General features: G+C 35.3%; 1 protein-coding gene and 1 pseudogene across 5 annotated transcripts in view; one reads left to right on the top strand and one right to left on the bottom strand.

Annotated features, from left to right (window-relative positions):
* MARCHF1 (membrane associated ring-CH-type finger 1) overlaps positions 1 to 23,954 on the bottom strand; it is an 859,722-nt gene that overhangs the window by 399,437 nt on the left and 436,331 nt on the right. The window lies entirely within an intron of this gene.
* Positions 8,786 to 9,707, top strand: YWHAQP4 (YWHAQ pseudogene 4; annotated as a pseudogene).

The following is a 23,954-nucleotide window of genomic DNA, read 5'->3' on the forward strand; positions in this document are numbered from 1 at the left end:
AGTCTTCATGATTTTGAAGGTGATAGAATTGTAAAAAAAAAAAAAAATAGAAAAAAGTAAAAGAAAATTTAAATCACCCGCATCTTACAATGCAGACATAAATACTGTCAACATCTAGGAAGTTACTTTTCAGTCATTTTGTGATAGGTGATGATAGATAGATAAAAAATAAATGGATACTTTATTTTTAAAAATTATAATCATATTGCTTATGGTTTTATATCATCTACCATTGTATCATGACTATTTTGGCCTGCCAATAAACATTTTTAGAATATCTGATTTTAAGATCAATGTATTTTGTGTTAAAATGTATTTAAATTGAGCATTCATTAATCTATGCAAAGAACTGTGCTTGATGCATGGAGTGTAGAAAGGTTTGCACAACATTTCCAAAGACTAGGAGATGAAGTGCCATATTCATGCTGTTGACACAGAGGAAAATTACTTAATGCTGCAAAAGCACAGCATGCTTTGCAATTTCAGAGGAGGAAAAAATTAAGATCCTCTTTTAGAAAGTAATCAAAGGAGTCAATACATTTGAGCTAAGTTGTCAAGGCTGGCTGGACTTTTGACATGTGAAGAAGAGAAGAACAGACTTTACAAGTGAAGAAAAATCATGAGCTAAGGAAAAGAGGCAGACTTGCATGTAAAATGTGGACAAAACACCTCAGAAAGTGTGGCATAATACATCAGGTTCATGGGCATACAAGTCTTATAGAACAAGGAACAGTGAAAAAGAAGAATATAGTAACAAAGGTAAAGGCTATGTCAGTGGTTGAGCTGCAGGTGATTTTCACTTTTACTTTCTTTCCAAATTTGCGATTTTATTAAAAAATATGTATAGTGACAAGAATTTATCTTATGACCTTACAAACATAAATGACCTTACTCATTTGATCATGTTGACAATAGTATGAGGTGGGTGTAAATACTGCAGATGAGAAAATAGGGATAGAGAGGATAAGAAATTTAATCAAGGGTGCACAACTAGTGGATACCAAAGCTGGATATTGAGCCTAGAAAGGTTTAATCCAAAGTCCAAGCTCTTCGCCAAATTTGCTCTACTGTCTCTCTTTCCTATTGTTTATAATTAATAATTATAATATTAAGAAAAATAAGCAGCAACATGGTAAATGATTATACAAACTTTATTTGTATAGATAATCCATTTCCATGAACCAATTTATCTTTGATCCAGCCCTATGCATACAGGAATAAAATAACATCAGAGTGGCTTTTCTCATGAGCAAAACTGCAGAACCTGTAGTTTAAAATAGATTTTTAATGTCCCAAAGTAACTGTTGATTTCCAATGGTTTTGAATTTGGTCCCCTTAAGAAAAACTGTAACCACTGATAAACTTCTTATAGACCTTGTTACAGGAAGTGAGGTTGGCCAAACGCTGGCATTTTTGAAATTTGTTTTTCTATTTATCTGCAAATATTTTTTGCCATACTAGTTATTTTCAAGAGAGGGAAGGAAAAGATTAATAAGAAAAAAACAATAAGGTTTTATTCATACCCGAAGCCATTCAGAGTAGAACCCCAGATATGCAGTATTTGTTTGGGACTCAAGAGTCACAAGTTTACCTCACTTTATAAAATGGTCCATTCCTCAGACATCCCAACTCAATACCTGAATGTACTATGTACTCCCAAGTGGAAATGCTCTCTACTTAGTGTCTCTAGCTTTAATTACTGTTATGCAATAGTTATCTAACAATGGAAATAATTCTTTTAAATCAACCCATTGTTACATTACTACTTGTATTCAACACAAATGAATGATACTTAAATCAAGGAAGACATATTGACAATTTTGTTCAAAAGAAAAAATTGTCTATGAAAATCCTCACGTGTTACCAGTTAAAAGAAACTTAATGTAAACTAAGAAACATCTAATAATTTTGGTACGAAAATAGAAGATAAATATTTAAGTAGAACATAAGAATGAGAAGGGCCAGACTGAAATTGAAGTAGGACTGACCTTTACTGAACCCAATCTCTTTAGAGAAACTGCTCATTTTGGGTGGTGTAGCTGAATTATTAGTTAATAACATACTACTTACTCTTAAAATATGTGGACAGAAAATTTGACATAATATATGCATCCTGTTAATAAAGAAAAAATTCTGGTATAAAAAATGAAAGTTAATAATTAAAATTTATAAATACTTGTCCAAAGTTTCTCCCCTTCCAGGAAGTATTTAGTTGCAAAACATTCTGAGGTTTTTGTTTTTTACTTTCTTCTGATTTCAGTATGCAAGTAACTAAGTTATATATAACTATATTTTAATACTTTTAAATTAAGGTATTACATATATGAAGGGAAAAATCTTAAATGTATATGCCTTCTTACATATAACAAATCAGCATATAATTACCATCTAAGTCAAAATGCAGAACATCCAGTTAACAACCTCCTTTGTCCCACAAAGGCAGCCATTATTCTGACTTCAGAAAACCATAGGCTAGTTTTGGCTGTTTTTTGAACTTCATATAAATGAAATCATATATTATGTAGATGTTAGTGACTGGCTGCTTTCACTTAATGTACTGTAAGATTCATCCACATTTTTGCAGTCAGTTGGAGTTTTTCAAAAACTTTCTGCATTATATGACTATACTATATTATATATATCCATTAACTGTTATTGGACATTTGGATTTTTTTTCAGTAACAGAACATGACTAATATTGCTGCTAGGAAGATTCTTGTATAGAACTTTTGGTGAACATATACTCTTAACTGTTGGGCCAATACATAGTAATGGAATTTCTGGCAAAAGGCATTGATTCAGATTTAGTAATTATGTCTAATCCTTCTCCAAAATGGTTTTATCAATTTACATTCCCAACATACCATATGAGAATTCCAGTTGCTCTACATCCTTAAAAATACTTAGAAATATCAGTAATTTTAAAAATGTCATATATTTTGGTATATGTATTACTAGTAGAAACTCATTTGAGATTTAGTTTGCATTTCTCTGATACTAAGACATTTATATTTTAAAGAGTTTTTAAAGAAAAAGAGGAATGGATTACTATTTCTAATCCACAATTTGGGCAGGTATCAATATAAACTATGACAATCCATGAATATGTCTCCCAAGGAACATAGTCAACTTTATTAATTCAGAGAGTGCTAGCAAAATTAAAAAAAACAAAATTCTAGAATAGAATGCATATGTCATAGAACAGCTAAATATTAATAGAACTAAAAATACTAGTTTTTATTATTTTGTGGTATAACCAATGCTAATTTTAAGCTATCAAAATGCTACATACACTTCCAATCACTTCCAAATTTAGATAAAAAATTTGATTTGGGAAAAATATTTCAAATCTCACAATTTTGTTGTATTTGAGACAGACTTAAATGTTTGTATTTTCTTTCTTTTTTACAATGAGGCTTCACACTTTTGACATGTAAGATGGAAAAGCGCAACTTGATGTGATTAGTGTTCCCTTCTTAGACTATGTCATTCCTACTACTAGTTAGATTTGTATTTCAGATGACTACAAATAAGACAAGCCTAACAAGATTCATAATTCTGGTCTTGCAGCTGAAAGAGTTTCAATTTTAAATAAACTGCTGGCACTATCCTTGTAAGGAACTGGCAAAAACAGTTACATCCATTGAAACTAAAATTTAACGTGGGAATTTTGCATATTATATTCAGCAAACAAACACTTTCATGTGAGGAAAAAAGGGGGAAAGGGCTGTTTTATAACAATGAAGTTATGAAAATTTTAAGTCATAGAGGTGCTGCCGTTATATTTTCAGTGCATTGGAGGTTTTTATGTATGAATTCTTGATTCTGATATTCATTTTAAACTTGTTAAATTCAAGAAATAACTTTTCCAGCACTGAAATGAAACAGGTTGCCTGGTTAGCTTGCAGAGTAATTTTAGAGTAAACTATATACACAGTTAAAACAAATGCTACAGAAACTGTCCTCAATAAAGAAAGATAGAATGTCTATGGACTCTTGGTAAAATGTAAAATGCACCCAGGGTTTAATGTGTATCCATTTTATACAAATTCTAAGATGATAGATGTGATCAAGCCTAATTTTAAAATTAGCATACCGTTTGAATATTTAACATGTACACTCACACAAGCGGAGCTTCATGAGCAAGGGGATCTTTGTATAAAGATTTAAAATTTTTTCTCTCTTCCAAATGAAGTATAATAAATGAAGGAATGAAGTTTGTACATTTTCTTTCTGTTATTTGTTATCCAAGTTCTCTTTTTTTAATGATTGCCCACTTCTGAATTAGGCATTTGATGTTGAATGGGGTATATATATAGTTTACTCATGTTAGAAAGGCTTCAATTAGATGTTCAAGCTCTTGAGAAATTCTCTATGTAATTCTTTCATGTAATTCTCTACAGTAGAAAAAATGGAAAGAAAGTGCCTTTGTCAACTTCACTCACTCATTCTTTTTTCACTGATTTACTCTTTCTATTCATAAATATTTACTTAGTATTATCTATATGCCAATTATTCTGCTGGGCCAAAGGGATTAAAATAAAACAACACATCAACATAGTGCCTTTGATTGAAGATGCTACCCTCCCAGTAGCTAGACAAAACAAAAATGTAAGATAAAGCAGAACAACAAGTGCAAGAGGACAGGCAATCAGACAATGGATAGGGAAGAAGAGCTAGGCGTGGTGGCAGAGGACTCTTTTTGGCATTTAGGTGGACTTTACAATTATTATAACTCTAGGGTAGTTGGTATTATGACTTGCACTTTATGGATGAAGAATCTAGGACAAAGACAGAATGTAATTGACTTGAGGCAATCTTAACTGCATTATCACAATGACAGAAAGGTGAGTTGCTATATTCTTTTTTGATTGAAAAGTCTGGATAGAAATGGCATTTCAATCAAGTTTGCAGCAGCCTTTGAACAAAACGTTAAAATTCTGATTTAATTTATGTATCAATATTATAAAGACTAAATATAAAAAAGTAATTTGTAAAGTAACAATCAAGGAAAATTGGACATGCTGAGAGTGGTAAAAATCTACTTTAAGGACTAACTTTTTAATTTCTTTTCACTGGGTTTTAAATTTTTAACCACAATGAAATTAAAATATATTATTTTCTTAATATAACTTTTGAAATCTCACTGTTCTATTGTTTTCTATAGTGTAGTAATTGTCCTCAAGATACCAATGGGACAAAGGGGAAAAAATAAGAGACCTATATGTGCTTCTATTTAAGAAGCTTTGTAACTTTTGAATAGAGAGAAAAAATAACATATTGTTTATACCAAAACATATTTGAGATTTAAAATAGGCACAAATAATTCTGAAAAAGAATCATCCAAATATTTTAATAGAGCTTAAGTAGGATACTTTCTCTCATCAAACTTTCATTGTAACTTTATTTCTTCTATATCCAGCTACATTAATCTTGATATTTAAAATTATGGTAGAGAAGTTATGAAATTAGACAACTAGGTACATTTCTTAGGATCACTGCTTCCTTGCTGCACATATTCAAACAAATTACTTTACCCTCCTAAGTCTTTCAACAGTAAAATGGCAGCAATAATAATGGCTGCCTCATAGAATTATTATAGGCAAAGCACTTAAAGCAGTGCCTGTACAGAGAACAAAAAAATCAATGAAGGTTAGCTACTAATTTTTATCTACAGTTGTATGTACTCAAAATTATCATATATATTTATCCTTTTCTGCTGCAATAATTCTGATGCCATAGTGATCAGATTGACTTAACAATTTTTTCAGAAAAGCTCTTACAGTTCATTTTTGCCAATTAAGTATTTTTTTTCCCTTCATCAGAACACTGCTTAAAAATCGTGCCAACTGTGGCACCTTCTAATGCTAACCAGGTATATATATCAATATGTCAATGATAACACATTTAAGCAAATGTAGGTAAATTGTATGACAGTATCACAGACGATGAAATCAGAGTTTGGGAGCTATAATATGTGGTAGAAATAACCATCTACTCCTCAGGTTAAGTGATTTGTTCCAGGCCACATGACATTTTTTGCAGGGCAGGACTAGATCCCATATATTCTGATTTCTAGTGCATGGTTTGTTGTTTCTAGCATGGTAATATAATATATTGTTTAACTAAGACACTTTTGTGAAAGAAAGAGGGCACTATAAAAAACATATTGGAAATATATATAATATATATAATATATTATATATTTATATTATATATATTATATATAATATATATAATATATATAATATATATATAATATATTATATATAAATATATTATATATACTATATTATATATAGCTAATTTGTTGTCTCAGGCAAACTAGGATTATGGCATACCAGCCATGAATTAATAGATAAAATGGAAATTTTGTCAAGTATTTTAATATGGAGAATTTAACATGGGGTATTTTTAAGGTATACAGAAATGGAAAAGCAATCAGGGAACACTAAGTTAGACAGTAACTGTAAGAATCAACCCTCATTTCTTGGGGTGGGAAAACAAAAATAAAGACACTGATATTTTCAAACCTTAGAAGTTCAGAGGAGGGCACCAGAGACCTAGAATTAAACCCCTTTGGGGAATAGGAACCAACAGATCATTGCTGATACCTCAGAAATTGAACAGAGGACCTCAGGAGAGTTGGGACTCAGACCTTTGGGGAAGGCATGAGGTCCAGGTGAGGATGTTACCTTAGGAGTTTGGAAAAAGGACTTGTGGTTTGGGCCTTTGAAAATGGTGTTTTTTTTTTTTTTTTCTGGTGTGATGATTAATTTTATGCCTCACTTTGGCTGGGTCATAATGCCCAGATATTCAGTCAAACTTCATTCTAAACATTCTGGAAGTGTTTGTCTATCCAATGCCTGTTCCACCATCATATTTTGAAAACACAGAGTCTGTTTTTACAAGTTTATAGCTGGAGAGGAATTTTGCCTTAGATAAATCACAGGTTTTGGTTCACTAGGTACATTGTCAAAGAGCGCTGTGACTCATCCTTGTATGATTTAGATGATATTTTTGATAATCTTGATAATTTTGATGATTTTTTAAGATGAGACTTGACTTTAAAGTTGATGCTGAATAAGTTAAGACTTTTGGGGCTATTTGGATGAAATGAATGTACTTTGCATGAAATAGGGATGTAACATATTTTGGGGGGTGGCAGGTGCAGAATGCTGTGAATTAAATTGTGCCATGCCCTCAAATTCATATGTGGAAGCCTGAACCCCAAATGTGACACTATCTAGAGATGGGGACTTTAGGAGGTAACAAAGGTTAAATGAGGTCAAAAAAGTGAGGCTCTAATCCCATAAGTTTGCTGGCTTTCTAAGAAGAAGAAAAGAGAAATCTCTTTGTCTCACTACTTGAGGACACAGCAAGAAGGCTGATACGTGCAAGCAAGGAAGACAACCCTCACCAGAAACTGCATTGGATGGAACCTCAATCTTGGACTTCTAGCCTCCAGAACTGTGAGAAAATAAATTTCTGTTGTTTAAGTCACCCTGTCTATGGTATTTTTATTATGGCAGCCTGAGCTGACTAAGTGTTTTTTGGGTAATATTAACATTTAAATTGGTGCTGTAATTGAATGCATGTATCTCCCCAAAATTCAAATGTTCAAAGTGTTAACCCCCAAAGTGATGACATTAGTATGTGGGGCTTTTTGGAAGGTATTTAGATCATGAGGGTAGAGCCCTGATGAATGGGATTAGTGCCTTCATAAAGGAGGCCTCAGGAGGCGTGTTTGCCCCTTCCACCACGAGAAGTTACACTGAGAATATGGTTGTCTTTGAGAAAATGGGGCCTCATCAAACACTGAATATACTAGTCCCTAAATCTTGGACTTCTCAGCTTCCAGAAAGAAATACATTTCCGTTGTTTATAAGCTACCAGGCTATGGTATTTGTTAGAGCAACCCAAAAGACTAAAACAATGGTGAATATAACAGATTGCTTTCCTAATGTGGGGGTGGGGTTTATCCAATCAGTTGAAGGCTTAAATACACCAATGACAGATGTTTCCTGAAAAAGAATTCTTCCAAGAAGACACACTTGCAAACTGAACTAAAACCTCTCCCTCAGTCTACAGCACACTGGCCTACCTCATCAATTTTGGATTTACCAAATCTCCATAATGGTATCAGCGAATTCCTTGAAATAAATCTTTCTGTATATAAAGGCACAGCATGGAGATATTTTGAGTTCAGTTCCAGGCCATAACAATAAAGCTAATATTGCAATAAAGTGAGTCACATTTTGTTTTGTTTCCCAATGCATATAAAAGTTATGTTTATACTATCTTGTAGTCTATTAAGTGCAATAGGCATTATATCAACAAAACAATGTACGTAATTTAATTAAAAAAAACCTTATTGCTAAAAAGAAAAAAAAAAAGCTAATGATTGCCTTATCTTTCAATGAGTCATGATCTTTTTGCTGGTAAGGGCTCTTGCCTTGATTTTGATGGCTGTTGACTGACCATGATGGTGTTTGCCAAAGATTGGGTGTATGTGCCAATTACTTGAAATAAGACAATGAGATTTGCCACATTGACTGACTCTTTCTTTCACAAAATATTTCACTATAGCATGCTAAACTATTTGATAGCATTTTACCCACAGTAGAATGTTTTTCAAAACTGGAGTAAATCCTTTCAAACCCTGCTGCTGCTTTATCAACTAAGTTTATGTAATATTCTAAATCCTTTGTTGTCATTTCAACAATGCTCACAGCATGTTCACCAGGAGCAAATTCCATCTCAACAAACTACTTTCACCCTGACTCCTGCCATAGAGAAAATGGAGCTGATCCAGAAGGCTAAGCTAGCTGAGTGCTATGATGACATGGGTACCTGCATGAAGGCCATGACCAAGCAGGGCACCGAGCTGTCCTATGAGGAGTGCAACCTGCTTTCCGTGGCCTACATGAGTGCGGTTGGGGGCTGCAGGTCCACCTGCAGGGTCATCTTAAACATCGAGCAGAAGACAGACACCTCCGACAAGAAGTTGCAGCTGATTAAGGACTACCAGGAGAAAGTGGAGTCTGAGCTGAGATCGATCGGCACCATGGTCCTGGAATTGTTGGATAAATATTTAACAGCCAATGCAACTAATCCAGAGAGTGGGGTCTTCTATCTGAAAATGAAGGGTGATTACTTCCAGTACTTTGCTGAAGCTGCATGTGGTAATGATCAAAAACAAATGATAGATAATTCCCAAGGAGCTTACCAAAAGGCATTTGATATAAGCAAGAAAGAGATACAATCCACACATCCAATCTGCCTGGGGCTTGCGGTTAACTTTTCTGTATTTTACTATGAGATTCTTAATAACCCAGAGCTTGCCTGCACGCTGGCTAAAACGGCTTTTGATGAGGCCATTGCAGAACTTGATACACTGAATGAAGATTCATCCAAAAGACAGCACCCTCATTATGGAGTTTCTTAGAGACAACCTAACACTATGGACCTCAGACAGTGCAGGAGAAGAATGTGATGCAGCAGAAGGGGCTGAAACTAAATCCAGACAGGGTGTCATCCTTCTTCCCTTCAAGAAACCTTTTTACATATCTCCATTCCTTATTCCACTTGGATTTCCTATAGCAAAGAAACCCATTTATGTATACGGAATCATCTGTTTACAGTCTTTTCACACTGCAGCATTGGGAAAACTTCATTCCTTGATTTGTCTTGGCCTTCCTAGTGTGTAGTTACTGCTGTAGAAAAGTATTAATACCTTCATTTCATATAAACATAAGCAACTTCCAAACACTTAGGTAGAGGACTAAAAATGTATCTGGTATTTAAGTAATCTGAACCAGTTCTGCAAGTGACTGTGTTTTGTATTACTGTGAAGATATGAAAATGTAGTTAATTACAATTTAAAGAGTGTTCCACACAACTTCTCCATTTCTACATTCCCTCCCATACTCGTCAGGGTTTCCTTTCAATAAGCAACTTTTCCATGCTCCTAATGTATTCCTTTTTAGTAGGAATCCAGAAGTATTAAATTGAATGGAAAAGCCCTTGCCATTTCTGGCTGGAGGTCACAAATTGAAATGCCTCCTGTATCACATATTATGGAGGTCATATATATCTGTGGCAACAGGGACTTTCCTTATTCACTCTTTATTTGCTGCTGTTTAAGTTGACAACCTCCCTTCCCAATAAAAATTCACTTACACCTCCTGCCTTTGTAGTTCTGGTATTCACTTTACTGTGTAATGCAAGTAGCATGTTGCTGCCAGAATACAAGCATTGCTTTTGGGAAATTAAAGTATATGTCATTTCTTAATACACTGCAAAGGGGAAATAAATAAAAGTACACAAGTCCAAGTCTAAAGCTTTAGTACTTTTCCATGCAGATATGTGCACATGTGTGGGGTGTACAGTTTGTCTAGTATTGTTATTTAGAGATTTGGACCACTACCGTGCACTGCTAATCATTGACTATAGTCCCAAAAAAGCCTTGTGAAAATGATATGCCCTATGTAACAGCAGAGCAACATAAAATACAATTATATTTTATAAACAACAACAACAAAAAACCACTACATTATTTGCTTATCCATAAGAAAGCAACTCCTGGCTGAGGCAGGAGGATTGCTTGAGGCCAGTAGTTTCAGACAAACCTGGGCAACATAGAAATGCTTCATCTCTGCAATTTTTTTTTTAATTAGCCAGGTGTGGTGGTATGCATCTGTAGTCCCAGCTACTCAGGAGGCTGAGGTGGGAGGACTGCTTGAACCCAAAATTTGAATGCCGCAGTGAGCCATGATCATGCCATGGCACTCCAGCCTGGGTGACAGAGTAAGATTCCATCTCTAAAAACTCTTTTTAAGTAAAAAAAAAAAAAAAAAAAAAAAAAAGAAGCAACTCCACATCTGTTCAAGTGTGATCATGAAATTGTAACAATTCAGTCATATCTTCAGGCTGTACTTCTACTTCTAGTTCTCTTGCCAATTCCACCACATGTGTAGTTACTTCCTCTCCTGAAGTCTTGAACCATGCAAAGTCATCTATTAGGACTGAAGTTGACTAACTTCAGTCAAGTTAGTCAACTGAACTTGACCGAACTGAAGTTGACTAACTGAAGTTAACTAAATTCCTGTTAATGTTGATATGTTGATCTCCTCCCCTGAATCACAAATATTCTTAATGACATCTGCAATGATGAATCCTTTCCAGAGGTTTTCAATTTATTTTGCCCAGATTCAATCAAAGGAATCACTATCTATGGCAGCTACAGTACAGCCTTAAAAACTATGTTTCTTAAATAATACCTGAAAGTTGAAATTACCTCAACACAACAGAATCGGTGTTGTGTTAACAGACATACAAACAACATTCATCTCCTTGTATATCTCCATCAGAGCTCCAGAGTCATCTAGGATTTGTTGCTTAATATAAAGTGTACAAGCAGAGTAGATTTAACATAATTCTTAAGGGTCATACAATTTTCTAAATGGTAAATGAGCATTGGCTTCAATTTAAAGTTACCAGCTGCATTATCCTCTAACAGAAGAGTCAGCCTGTCTTTTGAAGCTTTGAAGTCGGGCATTGACTTATCTTCCCTAGCTATGAAAGACCTAGGTGGTAACATCTTCCAATAAAAGGATGTTTTCACCTACATTGAAAATCTGTTTTTAAAGGTAGACACCTTAATTAATTATCTTAGCTAGATTTTCTGGATAACTTGCTGAAGCTTCTCCATTAGCATTTGCTGCCTCACCTTGCTCTTTATGTTATGGAAATGGCTTCTTTCCTTAAACCGCATAAACCAGCCTCTGATAGATTCTATCCTTTCTTCTGCAGCTTCCTCAGTCTCTCAGCCTTCACAGAATTGAAGAGAATTGGGACCTTGCTCTGATTAGTCTTTGACTTAAGAGAATGTTGTAGATAATTGATCTTCTAACCAGACCACTAAAACTTTCTCCATATCAACAACAAGGCTGTTTTGCTTGCTTTCTTTTTTTTTTTTTTTTTTTTTTATTATACTTTAAGTTTTAGGGTACATGTGCACATTGTGCAGGTTAGTTACATATGTATACATGTGCCATGCTGGTGTTTTGCTTTCTTATCATTCATGGATTCACTGGAGTAGAACTTTAATTTCCTTTAAGAACTTTACATTTGCATTCACAACTTGGCTAACTGGTACAAGAGGCTTAGCTTTCAGCCTATGTCAACTTGCAACATGCCTTCCTCACTAAGCTTAATTATTTCTAGTCTTTGATTTAAATTGAGAAATGTGTGACTTTTTCTTTCACTTGAACACTTAGTGGCTATCGTATGGTAATTAGTTGGCCTAATTTTAGTTTTGTGGTGTATCAGAGAATAGGAAGGTCCGAGGACAGGGAGAGAGACAGGGGAAGGGCCTGACGATGGAGCAGTCAGAACGCACACAACAGTCTTATGTAGGCATGATTCCGGGTGTCCCAAAACAACTCCAACAGTAACATCAAAGATCACTGATCACAGATCACCATACCAAATATAATAATGATGAAAAAGTTTGAAATATTGTGAGGATTACCAAAATGTAACAGAGACTTGAAGTGAGCACATGCTATTGAAAAAACAGTGCAGATAGACTTGCTCAACACAGGGTTGTTGCCACAAACCTTCAGTGTGTAAAAACAACAAAATTGCATTGTGAAACACAATAAAAGTGAACCTCAACAAAATGAGGTGTGCCTGTATATATACTGTTGCTTCTATTTCTCTTGAGAACCCAAATATATTTGACTAATTCTTGTACCTGAGAAATTCAGAGAGGAGCACACTAGGAGCTGAGGCTCAGATCTCTGAGGATGGTGTGATGCTTGGCTAATGATGGTACTTCAAGCTTGTGGAGATTAGACATTGTGACCTGGGACTGAGGCCTCTGGGAGCAGGCACTACCCATCTGCTTTTGGTATCTCTGTGTGTGCACATCAAGGCTGGTTCTGGAAATGACTATACCAGCTTGAGATGTAAACCAACTGCAGTTTGATTGTGTGAAACACCATCTGCTAGAATGATGTTGATATAAACAAAATTTTTCTCCCTGCCTTTTCATTTTCCTCAGTGTCCCCAATTAGGTAAAACTAACAGCTGAAAAGAGAAGGTAGTTCTCAGATCCTCAGGCTCAGCCTCTCCAAGAAGAGTATATAAGAGTGGCTTTGGGACACAGTTCATCCTTGGTGGTCATGTATACGTACTTGAACTTCCATTCAAAACAATACCAGTTTTATGCTGCCATATAACAAGTTAAATGTATAGCTGTATAAATGAAATCACTCTCACCTTCTCCCTAACAAGGGTGGTATAAAAGCTAAACTCTCACGTATTCATCTCTAATTGACCATAATTTATACTTGTCTAGTGATGTTCAGTAGTCCTCTATTTCAGTTACAGTCCCACTGGAATACTCTGCAACCTCAAGACTAAATCCTAATGTAAGCCACCACCACCAAGCCTTACATAAAATAATAAATGAAATGAGGGAAGAGAAAAAGAAATTAGTCAATACATACATATACATACAAACATATACATACACATATATACTCACATACCCAAATATATGATAAAAATATGCAGAGTAGAGTTTTTATTTTATAGTTAATAACAAAAGCTACAGTAGAATTTTTCACTTCTTTATTTTATTATCAATGTCATATGTCTTTTGTCCTTGGAAAAAAGGAATGAACTCAAATCTTTACTCCTAGGATATCTGAATCCTCAAATCCTCAGTGGTTTTACATATATAAATGTATAACATATATAAATATAAATATATACATATATATAACACATGCATGCATGCACACATACACACACGCACACACATATAATTTTCCATTAATCTTTGCAGTTGGACTTGGAGGCATCCTAGGTAATCTTTTTGGTTTGCTGACATATTTGGAGTAGTGACCTAATTTTTCCTTGTAATCAGGATCAATCAAGCCAACCAGTGCAATAACTTGCCCGTTGGTTCAATGGCAAGAGAAGCACAAATTGGCCAAGTGGCTGTTTCAACTTATAATTCACTAAAAGCATTATTGTGTCTTCTGCTGAAAGCACTTTTTCCTTAGGAGGTAAAAAATTGAAACTAGCAGAGTTTAAATTATAGGAAATAAAGCAAAAAATTTTTCAATGGATTATTAAGAAAAATAGTGAAAGATGTGACTCCATCCTCCACCCCTTGATTCCCAGACCTATATATCTTGGCTCTAGGGCACATAACAGAACATATTGGTCAATGGCTCAAAACATATTTTCCATTATATAAGATAAAATCTTTTTTAAAAACAGGAGATGATCTCTAAATTGCACTGGAATTAAGTTTTCAACAGACCATTCCACCATCCTCTCAGGCCACCTGCTTTACAGTGATAAAGTGCATGAATAAAACCAGATAATTCTCTGAGTATGAACCCATTTGGCACACTTCTTTTAGTGTGACATAAGGATCTTGGTCTTAGGAAATGTTATGTGAAATAAAATGAAGGTAAATAAGGCCACAGATATTTGTGCTAATACAAAGCTTTGGGGCACAAAAAGCAAATGTATATCCACAATACAATCTCGATCCAATGATGGCAAATTACTATCTCCTCCCTGATGTAAGGCATTCAATCACTCAGCAATGAGGTGACTGGCTGGCCCCCATTAGGAAGGTGCCATTTGAGGGTTTTGTACTGATCTCTGCTCTTAAAAGAGTTAGGCATTCAGTAGTGGTGGCAGCCAGATATTCATTGGTAAGGAAAAGTGCACACTGTGGAGCTAATTACGTAGCCTCTAGCTCTGCCACAATGGCCACATTGTACCCTGGCACACTGAACAACTATCTGGGTTGCTGGGTGAAAAGAAAGATCCACTTATTCCTTTAACCTGAAGGATGCACCTGTACTAGTCGGGTTTCATGCTGTTATGAAGAAATACCCCAGGCTGTGTAATTATAAAGGAAGGAGATTTAATTAAATCACAGTTTCACAGAGCTGGGGAGGCCTCAGGAAACTTACAATCATGGTGGAATGGGAAGCAAAAACATCCTTCTTTATATTGTGGCAGCAAGGAGAAGCGCAGAGTGAAGCAGGAAGCAGGGAACTCCTTATAAATAAAACCATCAGATCTGGTGAGAACTCACTCAGTATCATGAGAACAGAATAGGGGAAACCTACACCATGATTCAATTATCTCCACCTGGTCCTGCCTTTGACATGTGGGGATTATTACAATTCAAGATGAGATTTTGGGTGGGACACAGCCAAACCACATCAGCACTTAAGGTAAGAAAAAAATGCAGATGACCTGGTGCAATCTCCTTTGTTACTAACCCTCTGGTAAATTACACTGATCATATTTGCTAGTAGGTAGAGACTTTATATTTGAAATGCCCTGAGCAGTATATTTCTGGCTAAAGATGACTTACAATAAATAGAACTCTCAGTCTTTGAGGCACAGCTCCAGGCACGGTTGGGAAACTCTCTGGGATATAAAACAGAGGTGTTTTGTAATTTAAACGTGCTCACTATGTGAGCTGATCCCACAACCTCATGTAGAGACCTCATCTGTTATTCTTCAGCCTTTTGACTTCCTGTATCCTTGATAATTATTTAATAAAGCTTGATACTGGATAAGATCTCTGATGCAGATGACTTATTTGATAATCCAATTGTGCATGTTAGCTCGCTAGGGAAATGTCTGACTGGTATCCACAGAACGTATTTTCTTGTTATCTTGTTATTCAAAGTGTCCTCTGTAGTGGGTGGTCTGTGATAATCACTCTTCACACTCTATGCTCATTTTGAGAGGCTCATCCACATAGCTCTCCATTGCTCCTTGCCATCAGTTTACCAACTCTGATATTTTTCTACATATCTGACCATCAAACCAAATGTTAGCAACTAATGACAAATATGTTTATCTCTTTATTTTTGGGTGTATCTTAAGTCAGACAAAATGCCAACAATATCTACTATTCCAAGTTCTGCCCAATTGAAAGATGGCCTTTTGACACTGCTTTTCAGGGACATTTGTGGTTGGGGTTTTAATTACACAGCATTTTTCAGCTGATGTCAGCATAACATGCCGAACTATTAATCCTAAGGAACTGCTTATGATACCACATGTTTGAACTGACTAGAGAATTCAATGCAGAATAGAAAGGTGTTATAGGACTGTTATGGACTGAATGTTTGTTTCTCTCCAGAATTGATATGTTGAAATCCTAAATCCTCTAAATGTGATGGTATTAGGAGGTGGGACTTTTGGAGATAATAAGGTCACAAGGGTGACACCCTCATGAATGGAGTTAGTGCCCTTCTAAGAAGAAACAGGAAATAATTTTCTTCCTCTCTCCACTCTCCACCATGTGATAATACAATGATAAGATGGCCATCTGCAAATGAGGAAGAGTGCCCTTACTAGACACCAAATCAACTAGTGTCTTGATTTGAAATTTCCAGACCAAAAAACAAAGAAATAAATTTCTGTTGTTTAGCCACTAACTTTATGATGTTCTATTATATAATGGCAGTTTGCAAATGACTAAGAAAAGGAGTTCAAGCCACCTGTTCATGCAAATTATTTGTGTCTTCCGTTGTATTTATTTAAATATTCTATTTGTACTGCACTGGTGTTGATATATACATGTATATATTTATCTGTTTCTGTAAATATCTATAAATATGCCAAAAAGAGGCAGAAGATATACCTGCTTATACATAAATATGTACGCATATGGTAGTTAAATACATGAATACTGTAATAGATTGTGTGTGTGTTTCTGTGTGTGTGTGTTTCATATGTGTTTCCTCTATGTCCACCATTGGATCTTTGCACAGTATGGGAAATGCATCAGGTGTAACATCAAAAGCTCAAAAAGTACTCTGTTCATAGACGACACAAATCACATAGCTGTTTACTGGGATTCTCTTTAATTTTATAAAATATTTGTGTGTCTTAGTAAAATTATAAACTAAATATGGAACTTATGAATCAGCATTGGAAAAATAAATCAAGAATTAAAAAGGACACAGTATATATCCATTTGGTTGATTATCTCTTAAAAGATTTTCCCTCATTTGGAAAACAGGAGTGATAAGAGTTCCTACTTCACAATGTTGCTAAATGTTGCTAAAGGAATAACATGAGATAAACATATAAAGTTTGGATCAGAGTAAACTCTCAATAAATACTTGTTTTCATAATGTTTGTTATTTTTTATGTCAAGCATTATAGTAGTAAATTTGGGGAGACATAGAGGTATAAGGTACAATATTGTCTTCCTCGGAGTTTCCAACCTAGCTAAAGACAAAATAATACAAGGATTAAATAGCACCCTGCTTAAATTTAGAAGTCTTATGCTTGAATCCTACTCTGCTAAACAGGCTATGTATCCTTGAGAGGGTAACTTGTTTTTTTCTGAAAGTCTATGTCTTTATCTAAAATAGAAATAATAATGGATATTTCAAAGATTTAAGTAGTGATTTGTATGATACAAACACTGTAAGCTTTAAGAGTGAAAAGAACGGCAAACTCAGTCTTAGCTGTGGTTGTCAAGAAAAGCTTCAGGAAGGTGTTAGGATTGAGCTAGGCACTGAACGGAGTCAAATAAGTTAAAGAGAAGAAAAGAACATTCCAAGAAACCATGAAATGGAAAGAACATGAGTAAACGTTGAGTCAGGGATAAACATGACAGACGTGGCACCAGTTGGAAAACACAGGTATCAGATTAGAATTAGTTAGGTAGGTTAAATAGAAGTAAAGGATAAATGCTTGGATTCTGGATGACTCTTCCTGCTTTCATATCCTTGCCTTGCTGTTTACTTTGTGTGACCTTTTTGGGTCCTTCTCAGTCCATACATAACAAACAACAAAATACACTATGCCAAGTTCTGCCTAATAGATGGACTTCCCTTTACCCGTGGTCCTTCAGAGACATTCCTCCATTTTCTGGTTTGTGCCTAAAGAACAGTTTGTGCTTAAGTACCCAAGTTTTCTCATTCGTCAAAAGGAGATAAGAGTGTTTATATCACAGAGTTGTTGCAGTGATTAAAGCATTCAACATATGGAAAGTACTTAAAACGGCATATAGTAAGTGCTATAAAAATGTTTTAAAATTACTATTTAAATTTATGTGTCAACTTTAAAGAGTGTCAGCTTATACTCAGAAATAATAAAGTTAAATAAAATAATCCTACTTCTTTCCATATTTTGTTTCTCAAGCCAAAAGAACTTTCTTCTCTGTGTTTACTTTTTAGTCCAAGTCAAATATTTGATACATGAAATTGAGTGTGAAGAGGTGGTTAAAGGTAAAACACTTTCTCAATAAAAACTGTTGCATTTGGTTTCATGAACAATAAAACAGCATGTTAAAATATTTATTTTCTATTGCTTCATATTCCATCTTCCATAAGTTACAGCCTGCTTTTATAAAATATCTGTGAAGCAGTAAGGTTTCACATCATCACTTCCTTGGAAAAGTGACCAACTCCACCGTGTCCAATTTGGAAGTTATTCTCAAAGTACACCAGGTAGCATAAAGTGAAACAAAGACATTAGTCATGGATTTCGACTCTCTCCTTCGTATACAGTTCTTTTAGAAGCATACCCTTCTGGGTAAGAGCACAGATATTTCTCTGTCTAATTATAGCTCGTCAAGTCTTACACCATGATGATAAGGAGAATTGTTCAATAAGCCCCTTGGACAGCTTCCTGACTTTATGCTACATATGTTAACGAGCCAGTGCTCCTAAGAACCTGAACTGATGAAATAAGTGACTGATTATATGGGCACAGAGAGTCATGAAAGTGCATGTTTAAAAGGATGGTTTTCCACCTTGAATACACTTCTGCCTAATTTCCATATATAATGTCCATGCCAAGTAATTTTACAGTGATGGTAGAATATAGCATGATAAGAGAACTGAAGGGATATGCATCTTCAATATGGCCCTGCACACAAAATGTTTTTCCCCTATTTATTCCTCCCCATAGGGAGTTATAGGAAAGAACTGATTACCTCCCCCGATCTTTTTAGGACAGTTCTGTTGGACAAAAAAAGTCTCCCTTATAATAAATTGAAACCATTTCCTCTCAACCTTAGCTTTCTCCTTTCTCTTACTCATTAGTTTCTTCATATTCAAGACCATCAACCAATATCCCCCTTCAATGTGAAACTGTACTTATTTGAAGAAAACCTCTCTTCCAAAAAAAAAAAAGAACAAAATGGATACACTAGTTTTTTGTTGTTGTTGGCCGCATGTATGTCTTCTTTTGAAAAGTGTCTATTCATATCTTTGCCCACTTTTTAATGAAGTTTTTTCCTTGTAAATTGGTTTAAGTTCCTTATAATTGCTGGATATTAGACCTTTGTCAAATGCATAGTTTTCAAAAATTTTTTCCCATTCTGTAGTTTATATGTTTACTCTGTTGATAATTTCTTTTGCTGTGTAGAAGCTCTTTAGTTAGATCCCATTTGTCAATTTTGGCTTTTGTTGCAATTACTTTTGGTGTCTTCGTCATGAAAGCTTTGCCAGTTCTTATGTCCAGAATAGTACAGCCTAGGTTGTCTTCCAGGGATTTTGTAGTTTTGTGTTTTACATTTAAGTTTTTAATCTATCTTGAGTTGATTTTTGTGTATAGTGTAATGAAGGGGTCCAGTATCAGTCTTCTGTGTATGGCTAGCCAGTTGTCCCAGCAACATCTATTGAATAGGGAGTCTTTTCCCCATTGTTTTTGTTAGCTTTGTTGAAGGTCAGATGGATGTAAGTGTGCAGCCTTATTTCTGGGCTATAGGGTTCCATTGGCCTATGTGTATGGTTTTGTACTAGTATACCAAGCTGTTTTGGTTACTGTAGATGTAGGGTGGAAGTTGGGAGGAGGGAGAGGATCAGGAAAAATAACTAATGGGTAACAGACTTAATACCTGAGTGACACAATAATCTGTAAAACAAACCCCCATGAGAGAAGTTTACCTACGTAACAAATCTGCACATGTCCCTCTGAACTTAAAATAGAAGTTAAAAAAAAAAAAAAAAAAAAAAGACCACACCTCCATCCCTGGGCTTGCTGTAGAGCCTTCCACGGAATTTAAACCAGGGCTTAAGGTGGCTACAAACAAGATTCACAGAATGTTAAGTGTTATATATCATCTTATTGTTCATACCCTACCATTAATACAACCCTTTACTACAATGCACCATTTACTGACTCAGGATGGTAAACACAGAAAAATGCTTTTTTTTGTTTTGTTTTTTTTGAGACTGAGTCTTGCTCTATCACCCAGGCTGGAGTGCAGTGATGTGATCTCGCTCACTGCAAGCTCCACCTCCCGGGTTCACTCCATTCTCCTGCCTCAGCCTCCCGAGTGGCTGGGGCTACAGGCACCTGTCACTGCACCGGGCTAATTTTTTTTTTTTTTTTTTTTTTGTATTTTTAGTAGAGATGGGGTTTCACCATGTTAGCCAGGATGGTCTCGATCTCCTGACCTCGTGATCCACCCGCCTCAGCCTCCCAAAGTGCTGGGATTACAGGCGTGAGCCACCGCGCCTGGCCAGAAATATGCCATCTTTTAAGGAGGGAGTTGTCTAGCTGCAGTCAGTGTGGTCAGTAGATAAGACTCTAGCTGTTACCTCCTTTAGATTTGATTCAGCTGCAGAAAGCTGCTTCACCTGATGTCACACCTTTTGTGGGGAAGTCCACAACCAGTGACCAAGTGAGCAAGGTAACAGGATAAAGGCCCAGCTGCTTGAGCCAGTTTTTGGGTAACTCTGATGTGCCACATTCTTCCTTGAGCTTCCTTCCTGGTTGGCCAAGGCTGTATTGGATCTGCACTGCATTTCAACTTTTCCTCCACTCCATCCCACTTCCTCCCACTTTCTTTCCCAAGTATTAATCTCTAAGAAATATCCTAAAGCCCCAATTCATCTTAACATCTACTCCAAAAAATGTAACTTGCAATTCTTGGAAACTGAGGTAATAGAAATGTAACATTCTAAAAATCACGTTAATTACAGGCAGGCATTTCATTAGGGCATGAATCTTTTAACCAGAAATCCAATTTTCTACGCTTCCATTCAGCCCCATGTCCACAGATATCCATGACAATTTGGTTAATGTGAGTTTTGCAAGAGTAATATCAATTTAAAATGATTAGATATAGACATTGAATGAAAACCATAAAGCCACCTGTATTGACTATTCATATTCCTAGGACCTAAGAACTTCAAGCACAGGTTGCTGGTTCATCCTTCAATCTCCATACATCAGCTAATTGATGGTACAGCCTTAAGGGTACAGATAAAAAACAAACTGATATTGTCTTACAAACATGAGCAATACCCACAAGAGCTACATCTCAGGCATATGAGATGCTCCAATAATTCCTATGCTAGCCTCTACTCCCAAAGATTTCAAGAAAATAATGTCACACATGTTATCTATTTCTTTACAGAAATGTCTGGTTTTCTCCTAATTTTCTCTGTAATCCTGGTTGTTGGCCAGACATGGTATTTTTTTTTCTGGGGTTCTTTTTCATAAAACCTTACAAATTATTTAACTCTCCAATTGGAGACTAGACGAGTCAATACTACAAGGAGAAAATAAGATAATCAAACATTTCTGCTGTCCTGTGAGATATTTGATAATAAGCATGTATCTTCATAGCTGTCAATCTGTTTGGGGTTGATTATGGTGAGCAGCTGCAAGTAGAGTAATTTTGAAATGGTATCTAAAATCACCACTAATAATATTTCTAAACTAGTGTATCCAACAGTTAAGTTAGTAAAGAAAAACAGCCTAGGTCTTTCTGAATTATTGAACTCAGTTCCAGCAATGCAACAAGGACAGATCTTCACAGGAGTTACATAATTCATTATCTCCATAAACTAGCTTATTATTAGCAACTCAATATTTTGCATATGAATTTAATTGAAAATTGCATTTCCTCTGTGCACACCTAATTCATTTATTGAGTAATCTTGATATTTCAATGGATAAAACATTACAAATACAAATGGGATACACTCAGAGGTTTACCACAGAAGACTGTTAAAATACTCTGCTTTTTAGTCAGTTTAAGAAAAAAGCTTTCATTTGAAAAGGGTTCTACTGCCTTGGAGTGTCTAAGGATGGTTCAGCTTTAGAGAGAAGCCTGAACCGAGTCACCCTTCTAATGCTGAGTGGAGACTCTACAGTCTCACAGCTTCCCTAGTTTTTAGGTCTCTGTTATGGTAAATATCAAACCCAGCTTCTCAACCTGTATTTTTAGTGCATTTAAAAAAAAAACACTTAATTCCATATAGCACCAAATTGATGTTATATCATTTATAGTAAAACATTAATTTTAAAGTTGATTTGCTACAAAAATATATGGAAAATAATTCATTCAATAAATACATATCTGGCATCACTCTGGGCACTTGGTATATCAGTGAAAATAAAAGAAAGACAAAAATCTCCACCATTTCCTCTCAACGTCGCAAATATATTTTCTACTATGTGCCTGGGGTAGAGAGAGGGCTTTACACTCCAGGGTTTTGTTTCTTTGATTGACTGATTTTTAAATATCCTTGTATTATCAAGCCCAAACTTTTCCACTTGTCCTTAAATAAAGACTCATTTAACCTGGCCCCATAATATCCTTCCAAAATAGATCCCATACTATCATCTCTCTATAGTCCTGATTTTCTCTATTCACCCTAATCTTTTTAAAAATAAATTTTATACCTTGGTCTATTGTATTTTTGCACCTATCCAACACACCTGTATGGATCAAGGTAAGAATAATATCCCCCAGGAATGTTTCCTGATTCTTCTAGTCCAAGACAGTTATTTTCATCTCCCAATTTCTAATGAAATTAGTTTATGTGACTATTTCCCTAATCTCCCCCAAACAGATTGGTAGACAAGACCATGCATACATTCATTTGATGTTCTCCCAAAGGCTTCAGATTATGCTGAGCACAAGTGAACAATGAGCTATTTTTCAGTAATCTTGCTAATTTTACACGATTGTGGCCATGGTTTTAAAGGCACAGTGGCATCTCAATAGTCTCCCTTAGCAATTAAAAAGTGATTCAATTTCCCATTATCTATTTTCCATGGATGGACTTGCATTATTTATAAAAATGCACCTGAAATATCACTGCAACAATTTGTTAAGATGTTATCTCTACACCATTAGAATACCCTATCAAATTCTATAAAGACATTCCAGATCTGTATTTAAATAAAGAATTCTTGTTTACAGATTTTTTTTAAAGTAGGCAGCACTTACCTTTTATACAAGCTTGTGGAATATGAATGAACATAGCATATTCAGCAAATAATGAAAAATTATTTGAATATTTTTGACTCAGCAAGTGTACATAGAAATGGTGTAAATGAGAAGCAATATATTGGAAAATTGTACTTCGTGGCAAATTTCAATTTGAATTCACTTATAGGAAGGCTTTTCACTTTATATGATAATAACTCAGTTACAAATATATTGTCTAAAAATACTAGATTTTTAATTTTTTGTTATTTTTTCCAGGTCCTTAGAGTAGGAAGATGATGAGCTGTGGTCCTAACAATCTTAGTAGCTATGGTAGCCAGAATAATGTTCCCAAACTGTTGGCCATGTCCTAATTCCTGAAATTTGTGAATATTATTCTTTTATGTGGCCAAAAGAATTCTGAAAATGTAATGAAGTTAAAGATCTTGAGATGGGGAGATTATTTTGGATTATGCAGGTGGGTCCGATATAATCACAGGGTCCACATAAGAGGGAGGCAGAAGTGTCAGAGTCAGAGAAGACCAAGTAACACTGGACCCAGAGATGAGAGTGATGTGTGGCCACAAGCCAAGAAATGAACACAGCCTCTAGAAGACAGAAGAGGTAAATAAATGATTCCTATCCAAGAGCCTCTTGAAGAAATAAGCTCTGTTGACCAATTTTAGATTTCTCAACTTCATAACTA

This window comes from Homo sapiens, chromosome 4, assembly GCF_000001405.40.
Source record: "Homo sapiens chromosome 4, GRCh38.p14 Primary Assembly".
Taxonomy (NCBI): Eukaryota; Metazoa; Chordata; class Mammalia; order Primates; family Hominidae; genus Homo; species Homo sapiens.